Source organism: Homo sapiens, chromosome 2, assembly GCF_000001405.40.
Source record: "Homo sapiens chromosome 2, GRCh38.p14 Primary Assembly".
NCBI classification, from domain to species: Eukaryota; Metazoa; Chordata; class Mammalia; order Primates; family Hominidae; genus Homo; species Homo sapiens.
Window position 1 is genome coordinate 100,917,271 of NC_000002.12, and position 17,037 is coordinate 100,934,307.

Consider the following 17,037-nt stretch of genomic DNA (forward strand, 5'->3'; position numbering starts at 1 on the left):
AATCCCAGCAGGTTGAGAGGCCAAGGTAAGGGGATCATTTGAGGTCAGGAGTTCAAGACCAGCCTGATCAACATAGTGAAACCCCCGTCTCTACTAAAAATACAAAAATTAGCCAGGCGTGGTGGCGGGCACCTGTAATTCCAGCTACTTGGGAGGCTGAAGCAGGAGAATCACTTGAACCTGGGAGGTGGAGGTTGCAGTGAGCCGAGATCGTGCCATTGCACTTCAGCCTGGGTGACAAGAGCGAAACTCCATCTAAAAAAATAATAAAAATAATAAAAGTTCAATAAAATTGGTAAGTCTATCAAGGGACTGAAAAAGACACGATTTATCAATAGCAGGAATAAGAAGGCCTATCATTAGATATTCCTGAGAAATTCAAAGGGCCATAAGGAAATACTATGAACAATTAGAGCCGCATAAAATCCAACCACTTAGATGAAATGGGCCAATTACTTAAAAACCACGACTACCAAACTCACAAAAGATGAACGAGAAAACCTAGAGTCCTATAACTAAGAAATTGAATTTGTATTTGAAAACCTGAACAGGAAATCTCCAGACCCAGATGATTTCACTGGTGAATTCTGCCAGACATTAAAAGAAGAAATATCACCAATTCTGTTCACACTCTTCCAGAAAGTTGAAGATAAGGAAATACTTTGGAGTTTATTTTATGAGACCAGCATTACCCAAAGACAGTATGAGAAAGGAAATCTACAGAACAGCATTTTTCATAAGTGTAGATACAAAATTTCTCAACAAAACATTAGCAAATTATATCCAACTATATATATTTATATATATTTTAAATTACAATCAAGTGGAGCTTATCTAGGGAATGCAAGGCTATTCAGAATTCAAAAATCAATGTAATCCGTTATGTTATGAAGTTACAAAAGAAAAACCACATGATTATATCAATTGATGCAGAAAAAGACTTTGGCAAAATGCAACATCTATTCATGAAATAAAAATCAATACTGAAATTATAAATCTAAATGTAAAATACGTAAAACTGTAAAACCATAAGAAGAAAAAATAGAAAGTCTTTGTAGTCTATAAGGTTAGGCAAAGAGTTCCTAGACCTAACACCAAAAGTACAACTCGTAAGAGAAAAAATTGTTAAACCTGGACCTCATCAAAATTAAAAACTCACTCTGTAAGTTACTATTAAGAGATTGAAAAGGCAAGCTATAGTCGGGTAGAAAATACTGACAAATCACATTTCTGACAAAAGACTTGTATCCAGAAAATACAAGCAACTGTCAAAACTCAATAGTAAGGAAATAGACAACCCAATTTTAAAATGGGCAAAAGATATGAACAGATGCTTCCTCAAAGAGGGTCTACAGATGTCAAAAAAAGTGAAAAGATGTCCACTGCCATTAGCCATTAGATACATGCAAATTAAACCTCTAATAATGTACCACCGCAACTTTCTTAGATTAGCTAAAATTTAAAGTACTGACAATATTAATTCCCTTTAAGGTTGTAGAACGCTGGATCACTCATACATTGCTGGTAGGGAGGTAAAATGGCATGGCCACTCTGGAAAACGGTTTGGTAGTTTCTTATAAACATATAGTTTCCATATGACCCAGACGTTCTAGTCCTGGATTCTTTACTTCAGAAAAATACAAACACGTTCACTGAAAAACCTGTACACCAATGGGCATAGTAGCTGTATTCATAATTACCCAAACTGGAAACAACCCACATTTCCTCAATGGGTGAATGCATAAACCGGCTGTGGAACACCCGTACAGTAGAAAACTACTCACCAATGAGAAGGCACACGGTATTGACAGACACAAGTTGAATAAATCTCAAAGGCATTATGCTGGGTAGAAGCAGCCAGGCTCAAAAGGTTACATGCTATAGGATTATACTTTTACGACATTCTTGAAAAGAGCATAGGGATGGAGAACAGAACCGAGCTGGCCAGAGTTTTGTGGGAGTGGAGGGCATGAGAGTTTTGTAGAGAGCTCTCTCTCGTCTTGATGGTGATGACGGTTGCATACCTTTATACATGTGCTAAAACGTATAGAACCGTGTCCCCGAAGAAAAAGTCAGGCTCACTGTGTGTTAATTTTAAGGGGAAAAAAAACAAAAACAAAAACAAAAAAACGTTTTAAAGCACCCACCGTCAGCGTCACTTTTTCGAGGCTAATGAAGTTTGACTGAGCCTTGCTTGGCTCTTTCCCTACATCCCCCGCTGGGGGCGGTAGGGAGCAGCAGCGCCGTGCTGTGCTTTGGGGTGGAGGAGCCTCACGGACCCTTCCTGTCTCTACTCACTTCCCCTTTAAGTTGGGTCCCTCATCCTTTCCTGAGGACCCATTTCATTTCCTTTCCCTGTCCCCACTCATCCAAAAGCTCAGACCAGGTTGCTTGGCCTACCATTCACGACTGCGCCGTCGGTCTCCCCGTGCCTCCCCACCCTATCCTTTCCTTCTCCAATTGAGCCCAACTCTGCTGCCAAACTTGACCACCCAGCTTTCCCCTGGGCTGTCCTCTCCACCCCTGACTATGCACCCCTCAAAGCCACCTCATGTTCTTGCCTCTAGGGGCTCCGTGGCTGGGCTCCCTCCTTGGTGAGCACCCTTGGCGATTCGTTGGAACTTCTCACCGGGCAGTATTGTATTGCACCCCCTATACCAGCTTCTGAGGAATGAGTTCCATCTCTTCCTCTAGACACTGAGCTGCTTTTAGTTGAGGGCCAAGACCTCTTCATTGCCGCCTCCTCCATATCGCTTGATGGAGCGCCTTGTGCACAGAAGGTGCTAATCAGAGAATATAGAACAAATACTCTTCCTGTCTCTAATTGCCCTTGTCCAGAGAACCCTCAAGTCAGAAGTGGAAGAGGGTCCTCCTGTCAAAGGGGGAGGGAGTGGGGAGATGTTAGTCAAAGGGTAGAAAGCTTCAGTTAGACAGGAGGAATCAGGTTTTGAGATCTATCACACAGCAGGGTGACTGTAGTTAATAATAACGTACAGTGTTGTATATTTCAAAATTGCAAGGAGAGTAAATGTCAAATGTCTCACCACAAATAAGTGAAGTGACTGATATGGTAATTAGCTTAATTTAATCATTCCATGTTGTATATATATATATCAAAACATCACATTGTACCCCATAAACATGTACAGTTTTTAAGGGTACTGGAAGGTAACCTGTGCCCCACTTCCCTGGAGGTCTGTCTGTATTGCATTTAATAACTGGATGTTTGAGTTCCACCCATGAGTGCCTTTCTGCTCAATCCCCTACTATGTGTATCCAGATAGACTAGTTGGGCTATGTGGCCCACAATCCCCATATCTCAGTAAAGCTGACGTGCTCATCACAGAGCTGCTGGCCCCTTACTATAAAGTGTCCTCACCCAAGGACCCAGGCTGACAGAGGCTTCACCTCCCATTGCCAAGGGAGGTGAATGGAAAAAGGAATGAAACAGATTTTGCACTGACTCTTCATGCTTCTCCCTGGGAACTGACACATGGCACTTGTGCGTACGTGTTCTTGGCCAAGCGAAGGGGCAGGGAAGCACAATCCTGCTCTCTCCAGAAGACAAACTGGAAATATTTGGTGAACAGCAATCCTAACACCACAGGTGACCACGACAGTGGGAAAGGCCACTCCTCCTAGGAGCTGAAGCGAAGGTCGCAGTCTTCCCTTGATTTCCCGCAGTACCCTTCCCCAACGGGGAACACAAACACCAGCCTCCTGTTAGTGTGTGGCACTGTTTCTCTGCACGGTGTGCTTAGTTTTTGTGCTATAAACTCAAGCAGCCAGAATTAGTCACTCTCAGTTCTGTGTTCCCAGAACACTGGGTCCGTAGGTCCATAACAGATCCCGCCACAGTGATTTGGAGGGAGCTGTAGGAAGTGGCAGGAGGGTGCACGGCCTCACAGCGTGGGCACTGGAGCCAGCCTGTGGCACCACTTCCCAGACCTGTGATGGTGGTGAGTTACACAGCCTCTCAGTGCCTCGCTCCTTCCCCTTGGAATGGAAATGCAATAGTACCTGCCTTAAAGGGTTGCCATGAGAATTGAAGGAATGAATGGATGTAAAGCTCTTAACATGGTGCCCGTTACATACATAGTAAGTGCCCAGCAAATATTCCTTGTGTAACCAGACCCAAACTCCCCAAGATGCCCGATGATGGACGCTTCAGAACCAGATAACTTGGGGTTTTTGAGCCCCACATTCAAAAATCAATATCCATGTATATTTAAAACACACACATACCTTCCCTTCCTCCCTCCCTTGGTCTCTCTCTTACTCTCTCTTTCTTAAACTCAATAAGATGATGACAAACAGCCCAACTGGAAAATAGGCAGAAGATTTGAACAAACGCCTCACAAAATAAGATACATAAATGGCCATTAAGCATGTAAAAAGATGTTCGACATTACTAGTCACTAGGAAAATGCAAATCCAAGCCGCAGTAAGGTAACATTTCAACGGCTAAACATTTCAATGCACTGTATGTCAGTGCAGCCGTGTCTTATCAGGTTAAACATACGCTTAGCAGATGACCCAGCAATTCCATGCCTCTGTATTCACCCAAGAGAAATGAATGCCTATATCTACACACAGATCTGTACATGAGTGTTCAGAACGGCATTATTCTTATTACCCCTGAACTGGAAATGAACCAGATGTTGTGGCATATTCATACACAGGAATGCTAGTCATCAGGAAAAAGGAATGGGGTGTTAATATGTGCAGCAACATGATGCAACTCAAAAATGTCATGCTAAATCAAAAAGACTGTATACTCTGATTCCAGGTCTGTTAAATTCTAGACCAGGTGAAACTACACTACCAGCAGATCAGTGGTTGGTTGCCTGTGGCTATGGCTGGGGGTGGGCGGATCAATCACAAAGACACAGGAGAAACCTCTTTAGGATGAAGGAACTGTTGTTTATCTTGATTTTGGTGGTAGTTACCCAACTAATACACCAAACTATGCACTAAAATGGATGAATTTTATTGAATTTAAAAAATGCCTTATAACTCCAAAGCCTGGCCAGGCATGGTGGCTCATGCCTGTAATCCCAGCACATTTGTGGAGGCCGAGGCTGGTGGATCACCTGAGGTCAGGAGTTCGAGACCAGCCTGGTCAACATGGTGAAACCCTGTCTCTCCTAAAAAATACAAAAATTAGCCGGGTGTGGTGGTGCATGCCTGTAATCCCAGCTTCTTGGGACGCTGAGGCAGGAGAATCCCTTGAACCCGGGAGGTGGAGGTTGTAGTGAGCTGAGATCGCGTCACTGCACTCCAGCCTGGGCAACAAGAGTGAGACTCTGTCTCAAAAACAAAAACCCAAAGCCTGGTTGTTGGGGTTGTTGGAGTGTCTTTCAAAACCTTCGTCCCAGTGTCTGTGTGTGGTGGTCTCGGGGCCTGCCGAGAGGACCTTCTTTTTGGAAATAAGGTCATTCCAGGCTCATTTTCTTTCTCTTGCCTGATAGCAGTGGAACCAGCTGACAGCGACCAGTTTCCAGTGGACACCACAGTGTGTCCCAGCCGGAGGCGGATGGAAACAAGCTTGTGTCTCTGTCACTAACGATAGGAGCCTTCGTCGGAGTTGCTACCAGGCCATGTTGGTCGTCATTACACCCATTGAAGACGAGAACAGAGCAGTAATGAGCTGGGTGTTATCAGCTCACAAATAATTTATAATGGGCAAACTAGGACAGGAACAGAGCTTTTTTTGGCTAAGGAGGTTGCATGTCACTCTTTAAAATCTAGGCCAAAAAATTATTTATAATGCATAGACATTCACTCTGAAAGTTAAAGGATTCCTTTCTTCTCTCCCATGTGTTTGAACATGGTCTTTTAGCCTGGACTAGCAACAAGACTCCGCAACATCTTGCTGCCACGCCTGCAGTTAGTGTGTGATGTGAGAGAGTGCAGGTAAAGAGAGTGGCTCGGCGAGGGACAGGGCCTTTGTAGAAGGCCAAGAACAGACAGGGAGGAGGGGAGAGGCAGGAAAAGACCCCTAGGTAAAGGGTAGTGACCACACACGTTAGCTGAGCTTTGAAGAATTGCCCAAATGTTATCAGGAAACAGCCTAAACTGAGATAGGACCGGTAAAAGATGGGTTGTGAACATGTGTGTTGAAATAAAGGCAGGTTGTGTGCAATTAGGCAGGGGCAAACTGAGTGGTTATGGTCCTCGTGATGTCTAGGGAAAGGGTTTTGGAAATACGTCCTTTTGTGTCCAAGGGCTGTTTATTGATACTGTTACCTATAGATACTTACACCTGCTCCAAGGGAGGTGAATCAGAATCCAGCAGCACACTCTGTCCTGACCACACATTGGCCAGGAGCCTCCTGGTGAAGGATTTGCTCCCCTGAGAACCATGACCCCGGGCCCAAGGTGCCTGGAAAAGCAGCAATGTTTTATGGGCCTGGCCTCTGGGGCCCCTGTTCTCTCTCAGAGAGTTGACTTCTGGAACAAGTCTGTCTTCAGTGAACTGGGGAGGAGTGAGCCAGCTTTCTCAGCCCTGGATCACCTTCAAATACGTGGATTGTTGATGAAGGGCCTGTGGCGTGTCATTGAAGATGGAGGCCCCTCGAGTAGCACTGCTTCCGGACTTTTCAGGAGGGCTTTTTGCATCACGTGTTCCTTGTTCGTTGTTAATTAGAGCATTCCTGAGAGCCACGATTCCCTACTCAAGTTCCTGAGGATCTCAGGGTCCTCAGAGGTGCTTGGGTGGCTTGGGGGAGGCCCCTCCTCTCTAACCAAGCAGCTTCCCTTTGATCTCTCCTATAAGTGTGCAGCACAGGGTGTCACTTATTTAAAATAGACTTTATTTTTTGGAGCATTTTTAGGCTCACAGACAAACTGAGTGAAAGACACAGAGCGTTCCCATATCCCCCTGAGCCCTCCCTAGACACACTCAGCCTCCCCCATTATCAGCATCCCCCACCAGAGTGGTGCATTAGTTATAGCTGATAAGCTTACACTGATACATTGTTACCATTCAGAGTTAACATCAAGGCACACTCTTGTGTTGTACATTCTCCAAGTCTAGACAAATGTGTTGACACACATCCACCAGTATGGTGTCATACAGAGTGGATTCACTGCCCTAAAAATCCTCTGTTCATCCCTCCTAACCCCTAGCAACCACTGATCTTTGTGCTGTCTCTGTAGTTTTGCATTTTCCAGAATGTCATATACTTGCTATCATACAGTGTGTAGCTTTTTCAGACTGGCTTCTCCAACTTAGTAATATGTGTTTAACTTTCCTCCATGTCATTTTAAAAAGTGTTCGTCTGCTCTTAGCAGCTTGACAGCCATGGTGCAGTACCTGTCATACCTCTGCCCTGGGTCTGTACAGCCCTGGCTGTTGTAGGCAGGGTGTGTCTTGCCTCCCCCAACAGGGCGATGAGCTCTTTGGAGCAGGGGCCAGGACATATGCACTGGTGGCACACGGGATACCTGGCCACCCCGTGGGCCCTGGAACCAGGCTGGGTGTTCTGGATTGAAGGGGACTTGGTTTGAGTCTTAGGAAGGGCTCTCCGAGCACAGCCATCTCAGTCAGCAGTGTGTCCTTTGCTCTCTGAAAGTGAAAGCTCTATGAGATCCGAATGAGCAGCATCCGGCCTCAGAGCTAATCTGTCAGATTTTGCGTCTGAGTCAGAACTTACTGGTTATTAATGCTGTCTGTCTTTGTGGCCAAGAGTCTAGCAAAACATTTTCTATCCTCCTGCCTTGGAAATGTGGCCAGCGTGACCTTCCTGAAAGAGTTTTTTGATAAGATAGATGATCACAATAGAATGTGCTCTAATAGAAAGTGCTTTTGTTTCATCACAAAGCCTTTGTGACGTGGAATGTTCCAGTAACCTGCTCGTTTTGTGTTTACAGAGCTTCTCGAAACAAGTCTGAGAAGAAGCGTCGGGACCAGTTCAATGTTCTCATCAAAGAGCTCAGTTCCATGCTCCCTGGCAACACGCGGAAAATGGACAAAACCACCGTGTTGGAAAAGGTCATCGGATTTTTGCAGAAACACAATGGTAAAGGTCACCCTTCTCTCTGTTTTTTTTCCACCCTGCCCCGTCCATGTGGTGATGACTTCACCAATCTGGGCTGCCTGGTTGGTTTTGTCTCCCCAGCCAGGCCCAGCCTTACCGGTCGAGGGCTTCCCATTGTAAAGACACTCCACCCTCTATCAGCCCGTCTCTGGCTGGGTGGGGAGAGGGCACACACCTCCCAATTGCATTATAAGCCAGACGAGAGAATCCAAAACAACCTCACAGGTAGCACCCAGCCGAAGCAGCGTGGCATTCACAGTGACAACATCTTGATCAAAAATCCCTGGAACAAGTGTCTTTTATTCAATGCTGAACAGATGCAGTGGCTGAATACTCACTTCCTGTGGGATCAGACTATGTGGGCCTTTTCATCCCTCTCTGCCACTGCCCTCGAACTCTTTGGTCTTTTGCGCTACATCATGAAAAAATACATTGAAAAGAATTTATTTTCTTAATGTCACATTCATTCTGTTTTTATTGAGATATAATGTTTATACCATAAAATTCACCATTTTAAAGTGTAGAGTGCAGTGGTCTTCAGTATATTCACAAGGTGGTGTAACCATCACCACTCTCTAATTTCATCATGCCAAAAAAGAAACCCTGTATCCATTAGCCATCATTTCCCATTCTTCCCCCTCCCTCCAGATCCTGGCAACCACGAATCTGTTTTCTGTCTCCATCAATTCCCCTATTCTAGGCATTTTATACAAGTAGAATCATACGGTATGTGGTCTTTTTGTATCTGGCTTCTTTCACGTAGCATCTGTGTTTTAGCATGTGTGAGTACTTCATTCCGTTTCATGGACCAACAATATTCCATTGTATGGATATATTAATATCATATTTTGATTAACCATTCATCAGTTGATGGATATTTGGGTTGTTTACAATTTTTGGAAATTATGAATGATGCTGCTGTGAACATTCATGTACAAATTTTTGAGTTGATATATGTTTTCACTTCTTTTGTTTGTATTCCTAGGAGGGGAATTGCTGCATTAAATGGTAGTGTTTAGCTTTCTGAGGAACTGCCAAACTGTTTTCCAAGGTGGCTTGTACCTATTTATATTCCCAGCAGCAATGTATGAGGGTTCCAATTTCTCCACATCCTTGGCAACACTTATTACTGTCTTCTTTTATTATGACTATTATTAATATAATCTCCCTAGTGGGTATGAAGTGATATCTTATGTGACTTTGATTTGAATTTCCCAATAACTGATCATGTTTTCCTTTTCGTGATCTTTTCATGTACTTATTGGCTATTTGTGTATCTTCTTTGGAGAGATGTCCAAATCCATGGCCCCTTTTTAAATCATTGATTTTTCTTTTTATGCTGGAGTGGTAAGAGTTCTCCATGTATTCTAGATACTAGACCCTTATCTGGTATAGAATTCGAAAATATCTTCCCCCATTCTGTGGATTGTCTTTTTACTTTTCAAGTGATACTCTTTGACACACGAAGGTTTTAAATTTTAATCAGTTAATGTCAAATTTATTTTTTTCTTTTGACTACTTGTGCTTGAGGCATTCTATCTAAGAAATCATTGCCTAATCTAAGGTAATGAAGATTTATATCTATGTTTTCTTCTAAAAGGTTTATAACCTTTTTTCTTTTTTTCTTTCTTTTTTTTTTTTTTTTTGAGACAGTCTTGTTCTGTCACCAAGACTGGAGTGCAGCGGCGTGATCTAGGCTCACTGCAAGCTCCGCCTCCAGGGTTCACACCATTCTCCTGCCTCAGCCTCCTGAGTAGCTGGGACTAGAGGTGCCACCACACCCGGCTAATTTTTTCTATTTTTAGTAGAGAAGGGGTTTCACCATGTTAGCCAGGATAGTCTCAATCTCCTGACCTCGTGATTCACCCGCCCCGGCCTCCCAAAGTGCTGGGATTGCAGGTGTGAGCCACCACGCCCAGCCTAAAAGGTTTATAATTTTAAACTGTAGGTTAAGCATAGATATTTGATCCATTTTGTGTTCGTTTTTGTAGATGTCGTAAGGTGGGCTATGAAAATTCATCCTTTTGCATGTGGATTTCCAGTTATCCTGGCACTCCATTCTTTTTCTAACTTTGTAATACTTTATAAAAGTAACACATACAGAGAATATACAAATCATAACTGTACAGTTGAATTAATTATCACAAAGCAGACACAGCCAGGGAACCAACGACCCAGGTCAAGAAATAGAAGCTCCTTCCTGTCTTCCTCTGCTTTCCCAAAAGAAGGAACCTCTGTGCTGACTTCTAACCCCATAGGTTGCTTTTGCCTGTTGGAACCTTATTCAGATGGAACCATGAATTATACACATGATGTTTATGAGATTCCTCCCATTCTTCCCATGCTATTGCTAGTTCCCTTTCATTAGTGTATAGTATTCCATCACACGATCACCTGCATATGCCACTTGAACTCATCCTTGAGCTCACATCTTTCTCAAATCATTCTCTCTCCCTTTTCCTCTCCTTCAAACACTTTTACCTGTTAGTGTGTGGTCACACCTACCCTGCCAGTCACCCAGGATGTTACAAAAAGTCACAGAATAGTTAAGAGGGCTCAGAACCTATTAGCAAGCAGGAAGAGCAGAATTCTTTTTTCTTTAATCATGACACCAAACATAATAAGTCAGAAATGTCAGAATTAGTGAGGAAATAATTACAGTTCTTCCATGCAGGCAGTGATGTGTCTCTTCCACTGAACATTTTCCTAGACAAGATGATTTCATAAAAGAGGGTGCGGCTGGGACATCAGAAAGTTTCATTATACTTCTTAGTCTTTTATTATTTCTTTGATGATCATATATACCTATTAAAAATGTGACAGTGATGATATATCCTCATATTATTTTTTCCAAAGCTGCCCAGGAGAGAGTAAAGAACATGTTAATTGCTTTTGTTAAAAGTCAGGAAAGACCAATCAAGCAGGATTGGAACGAAGTGTTACAGCAGTATTTGATTGCCCTGATAATTTAATCAAATGGTTATATTTCCTAAATAATGATTTAGCCAAGTGAAATAGCAGGTTGGTTTGATTGCCAAGATATTTTGTGCAAATTACTCAAACTAGGTCATTGCCACCGAGAAGCAGGACAGCTGTTAAATAGGACAGCTGGGATCAAGTTCATCAGCCTGACATTTATGCCGGGCTCTGTCCACTGTGGAATTACAGAATTGTCAAATCTGGGCCCTGGAAAGGATAAGTCAGCAGAAATGCAGCCTCCAAATACCGGGAGAGCCTGCTTCAGCTCGCCTTTTTCATAAGATGAAGGCCTACTCCGCACAACCTGCTTAAACACAATGAGGATCATGCCAGGATCTCACTCATCTCTGTGATTTCATATTCAAAATAAAGCAGAAAATTCATGGTACGTTTTTTGGGGAAGTAGAGTTGTTGGAGCAAAACTTGGATTAAAGCAAAAAACAAAGCAATCACTTTCCTTTACTTGCAGTCCAAATGGACATGAACTCTGCAGGCACCTGCAACAGAGTAGAGAATACTGACCGTAAGCATCTGTTCAGGGCTTGCTATGAGCTGGGCAATATTCTAAGAGCTCTACCTACAGGAACTCCTCTACATAGAGCTCCTCTTCATGGCAGCACTTTCTTTTGGGAGACAGAGTCTTGGTCTGTCACCCAGGCTAGAGTGCAGTGGTGCAATTTCAGCTTACTGCAGCCTCCACCTCCCAGGTTCAAGCGATTCTCCTGCCTTAGCTTCCCAAGTAGCTGGGATTGCAGACACGTGCCACCACACCTGGCTAATTTTTTGTATTTTTAGTGAAGACGGGGTTTTGCCACTTTGGCTAGCCTGGTCTCGAACTCCTGGCCTCAAGTGATCTGCCCACCTTGGCCTCCCAAAGTGCTGGGATCACAGACGTGAGCCACTGCACCCGGCCCATGGCAGCACTTTGAGTTAGTTCCATTGCACAGATGAGACACACAAGGTCAAGTCACTCATCCAAGTCAGACAGCCAGGAAAATGTGGAATCTAAGCCCAGCAGCCTGTCTCCAGAGCCCAACCTTTTAGCACTACACTCAATGGCTGCTCCACAAGGGGTGATCTACAGGGCTTCTTGTGGCTATTTATATCACAGCTGCACTCCAGCTGTTCATGAGTGTGTCCATTTAGACTGCTGGTTCTCAACCTTGTGTGCACATTTGAATCACCTGAAGAGCTTTTGAAAAATACATATTACCAGGTAACCCCCCACAGACCAATATGTCATGATCTCTAGGGGTGGGACCACAATGGGATACCAGCTTGCAAGAGAAGATTGTTCACTTTTCAGGAGTTTTGCAAGCCAGTTGACATCAAGTTGGTAGCTTGAAATCAGCCATGGTAGGCGTATTTACACCACAGAAAGGGGCAAACACTGCAAATCAGGGCTGTTTGTTGTAGAGGGTGGAGAGCCTTTCACCAGCAGATGGCTAGGTAAGGCCCAGGCATCAGCATTTTTAAGGCCCCCAGGTGATTCCGGTGTGCAGTGAGGGTTAAGAACTATGAATTTCAACATGCTTCCTGCCGTCATGCTAAAGGGAGATCACATGATAAGTAAGGAAAGATGATTAGGTCCAAGTAGTTATTATTTAGCTCTTTCCCCAATAATCTTTCAGCATTGCTATTTTCTCAGCTTCGGAAATGAATTTTAATCCTGAACTGTACACTTATTCTCTCTGAAGTAATCCAAATCAAAATGAGAATCTGATCATGATTCTTTGTAGCAAAATTTTGTAACAGTAGCTATTATAAGAGAGAAATCCCTAAAGTCTGTAAATAGCAGGACATATTGGACATCCTTATCTACATCCATCTAGATGTTCTAGTGGGTCAGGCTGGCCTACACATTATCCTCTTCCTGAGTGAGTCTAAATGAAATTTTCTCCTAACATTAAATCCCATTCCTCATTCACACTTCTTTAATGTGTCTGTCTTCATGGATGGAAGATGAGGTGGGGAGAGCTGTAGAACAAGGAGAAATTTCCCTATTGAACAGGGTAATATATACCCAGGACAGCTGTGGAATTTCTGCTCCATTTTCCAGGCTTTTATTTGACCACATACATCCCAAACATATACTGCTTATTATTCAGATATACCAGGAGCAGTCGGGAGTTGAGCACTCTAGGAAATGGGTACAAGTGATATCAGAGTAGAATTTGGGGGGTTGGCTCTTAATCACAATGTTTTCCTACAAAAATGGCTCTCAGGTGGTTTTGTTTCCCTTGAAATTTGGAAACCACTTTTACCATAACACTGAATTTTACTTCCCAGTGTAACATTTTTTCCTCGATTCGAGACATCGTATCTAACATATTTTTTTAATATGCTATGAAATGAACCTTAACTTCCAAGGAGTCTAATTCAGTTGTTGAAATACAAAGTGAATGAGATGGCTGCTTTCAGTGTTATTATGCTAGCGTTAACAAAATACCCAGTCATACAGAATGATCTAAAAATTACTTAAGTTAAAGAAATGGGTATTTCATTTTCCTTCACCATTAAGTTGAATGGATCTCTATTTAAATGAAATTTGGGCTGCCATAAAGACTCTTCTGCTAGAAAAACAGTTAGTCTATAGTTTGATCCTAGTGGTCAAAAGAGTCTCACAGATGAGTGTGCATATTGGGGAGAAGAGGAAAGGCATTTATGGGGTTAAATATTATAGCACATCTTCAGTCCCTCTCTTTTCTAAGTGGTCGAACTGTGGCAACCATCTGTTTGAAGAACTGGGAGTTGCACCCTCTCTTCCTTGCCTCAGCCAGCACCACAGAATGGATTCTGGCCCACGATGTGCATGTAGCACCTGCCTCTGCTTCCCATGCTGCATTCCACCATGTGCATATGAGGCCCGACACTGGACGTTTCCCCACAGCGCGGCCCTCCCTCCAGGGGCCCTCTCAGTGTCGTTGGCTGCCTGACCATCAGCACGGTTTCCTCTCCTGGGTTTCTTCTCCTGGGTTTCTTCCAGTGTTCTATTACCAAAGGCTCATAGCAGCTCTTTTCTGCCCCTTTAAACTCACAAAGACAAAAATCCAATTTTGTATAACAGCAGCAGCAACTCGTTCTTTCTGACATCTCGAAGGAAGGAGTCTTCCTGGTGGAGACGAGCACTGCTGGGAACATTGGGTTTTGGAACAAGTGGAGGTTCACAGGGTGATGCGCATAACTCAGCTCTTTTTTTTTTTTTTTTTTTTTGACATGGAGTCTTGCTCTGTCACCCAGGCTGGAGTGTGGTGGTGCGATCTTGGCTCACTGCAAGCTCTGCCTCCTGGATTTATGCCATTCTCCTGCCTCAGCCTCCTGAGGAGCTGGGACTACAGGAGCCCACCACCACTCCCGGCTAATATTTTGTATTTTTAGTAGAGACGGGGTTTCACCATTAGCCAGGATGGTCTCGATCTCCTGACCTCGTGATCTGCCCATCTCGGCCTCCCAAACTGCTGGGATTACAGGCGTGAGCCACCGCGCCCGGCCATAACTCAGCTCTTTACATCTTTTGTTCATGAGTAGCTGCTGCATTCACTAAGATTCATTCATTCAAATGGCAGAATGCATTCCTCATGCGCCACGTAAGAGAGATTATCAAAAACACAGGCACAAAGGAGAGAGCCTTGAAATCTTTCTCCTGGCTTAAAGTTGATGGATTATCTGCCTGGACCATATGCATTCTCCAGGAAGTTGTTAAACAGGTTAGTTTTATTCTCTGAGCTATGAGTCTTATGTTCTTACATTTTTCCTAGCACCAAGGAAATAATCTCTGAAGAAACCTCTTACTACATGAAATGGAGCAAAATGTTGGCTTAAGATGGAGGATAAACTGAAGGAAAAACAAACATATTTGATATTACATTTGAGCCACCTATAATTATCTTATCAGAAATAATTCAATAATAGAACAAAACATTCTTTAAAAATGCAGAAGAACTAAAATATTTAAGGAGCCCCTTGTAGGCCAATGACTATTTGAATTTACAAATCGGCATAATGTCTTCAGTACAAGGCAGTTCTGTGAAATGGATAAACTATAGATTAACCCCAAAAAGTTTTGAGAAGAGTACATTATGTGTATGTGTATAGCACGCTGTATTTCAGTAATGGAAATGCTGAAAAATATGGTACATTCTGTATAACACAGTGGGTTATTTTCCACACGCCTAAGGTGTTTCTGGAATTTTTAAAATCCCAGGTCTGTGAAGTGTTTTGCTTCACCTGGGCCATGAAGAAGCCACTTATGAAGGTGTCACACCATCCCAGTGTTTGTTCCTATTGCCTTCATAGGTGGTAACTACCTAATTCCAACTGTTGACGATGGAGTTCGTCATGTAGACATTCAGGGCCATGGTACCACCTGCAAGGGCAGGCACCACAGCCATAGAGAAGGTGGGGGATGCACCTCCCTAAAGCCTCATTAAGGGAGATGAGAACATCCGAAGCTCCCAGTCCTTGGAAATCAGGGTAACATATTTCCTTCTGCTGGCTTCTTAAATTAAACTACACAGAAGTTTACACAAAATTACATAGAAGTAACATGTGCTTCATTTGTTAATTCCAATTTCTAGGTGCCATTGAATATAAAGGCTTATTTGTGTCTCTTTTCTAGAAGTCTCAGCGCAAACGGAAATCTGTGACATTCAGCAAGACTGGAAGCCTTCATTCCTCAGTAATGAAGAATTCACCCAGCTGATGTTGGAGGTGAAATGCACTTTCAAAATAGCTTAAACAGTTGCCAGTTAAAATGTAGCTACTTGTTGCAGATAAGTCCCTGTACCCAAAGGAAACTACTGTTCTTGATCCTGGGAAGACTTGACTTTGAAACAGATACCTCCCTGAGGCTCTCTGCCTGCTGTTGCCTATGGGCCATGTCAAGAAGAATCCCAAAATTGAATGTGGTCACGTGTTTTCACTACAGTGACCACAGGATGAGCCCCTTGATGGTGTCACAACCAGAGGACACCTTGCTGGGGAGCCAGGAAGGGTGGGTTCGAGGTAGGTAGAGAGAGGAGAAGGACAGAGGGAAGATGAATCAGCTTGCACTGTCATTTGACTCAGAGAGTCTTCTCTTAGACTGCTATGATTATACATTTTTTCCCTTAGTAGAAACACGTTTTGAAATTAAAAATTGTCTTTTTAAGATATGCTTTGAACTTGAACTCATGTTACATCCACATGGCATACAGATATCAGCCACAGGGATCCCGTGCCTCCCCATCCAGCTCATGTCCTTTCTGTGCTGAGTGAGATGCTCATGTTCCTCCCTCTGGGTCAGAGGCCCCATACTCATCTACAGGGCCGTATTTGTGAAAACCTGGCTGATCTAAATGAGTCCCTTTCCTCAACATCATGTATTTGTATATGGGTGAAACTCCTCAATGCAGATAAGCATAAGCCTCTACAGAAACAACTGCCAACGTGCTGTGGCTTCTCACCTGGAGATAAGTTTTGGAGTATATGGATATGGCAGTGGGTCAGAGAAAGCTCCAGGCATGACATATCCACGCCCGCAACCAAGAGGAGGCAAACTGGGACAGATGAGCTCAGCAAAAGGAAGTTAGACGCTGGCTGTGACCAGTGGTTCCTGGCAGGGTGTTTGGAGAGTGGTTTCTGGGGATAAATCTTTCTATCTCATATCTTATGTGCCTATATAAGACTGATGTAAACTTCAATTTACATAGATTAACTTGCAGAAAACAGAAAGTACTGGAGTAAGAAAATGCCAGAATGAAGATGTCCAAATATTATGAAATGTAAACGCATTAATGAACATTTGCATAAGATGAAAGATACTTAAATCTACATGTGAACTATATTTAAAGAAAATACAGAACTTTCTGCAGAAGCAATGCATTTTTAAGTATGTTAAATTTAAAGCAGCTTGTGAAATGTTGAATTAATGTATCATTATGCTAATTTACATAAATCGATTTATCTTTTAATTCTTATGGAAAAGTAGTTAAAACACATAACCCTATAGCAGCAGCCTTTTTTTAAGAGCCTGTAG

General features: G+C 43.2%; 1 protein-coding gene across 20 annotated transcripts in view, besides 3 other annotated features; it reads left to right on the forward strand.

The window, feature by feature from the left end:
* Positions 1-17,037, forward strand: part of NPAS2 (neuronal PAS domain protein 2) — a 178,107-nt gene that overhangs the window by 98,548 nt on the left and 62,522 nt on the right. For all 20 annotated transcript variants that reach the window (XR_007075420.1, XM_047444506.1, NM_002518.4 and 17 more), the window contains exons 3-4: positions 7,876-8,024; positions 15,640-15,731. Coding sequence is in view for 19 of the 20 variants with exons in the window: in XM_047444506.1 (XP_047300462.1) it covers positions 7,876-8,024; positions 15,640-15,731 (241 nt within the window). In the remaining variant the exon portion in view is untranslated. The remainder of the gene's footprint in view (positions 1-7,875; positions 8,025-15,639; positions 15,732-17,037) is intronic.
* Positions 4,377-4,671: an enhancer, noted in NCBI's record as "tiled region #12407; K562 Activating DNase matched - State 5:Enh". NCBI's record gives its function as "activates a minimal TATA promoter and a strong SV40 promoter by Sharpr-MPRA in K562 cells {active_cell/tissue: K562}" and the evidence as "EXISTENCE:reporter gene assay evidence [ECO:0000049][PMID:27701403]".
* Positions 4,377-4,671: a silencer, noted in NCBI's record as "tiled region #12407; HepG2 Repressive non-DNase unmatched - State 15:Elon". NCBI's record gives its function as "represses a minimal TATA promoter and a strong SV40 promoter by Sharpr-MPRA in HepG2 cells {active_cell/tissue: HepG2}" and the evidence as "EXISTENCE:reporter gene assay evidence [ECO:0000049][PMID:27701403]".
* Positions 7,679-7,748: an enhancer, noted in NCBI's record as "active region_16295". NCBI's record gives its function as "activates an Ori minimal core promoter by ATAC-STARR-seq in GM12878 lymphoblastoid cells {active_cell/tissue: GM12878}" and the evidence as "EXISTENCE:reporter gene assay evidence [ECO:0000049][PMID:35858748]".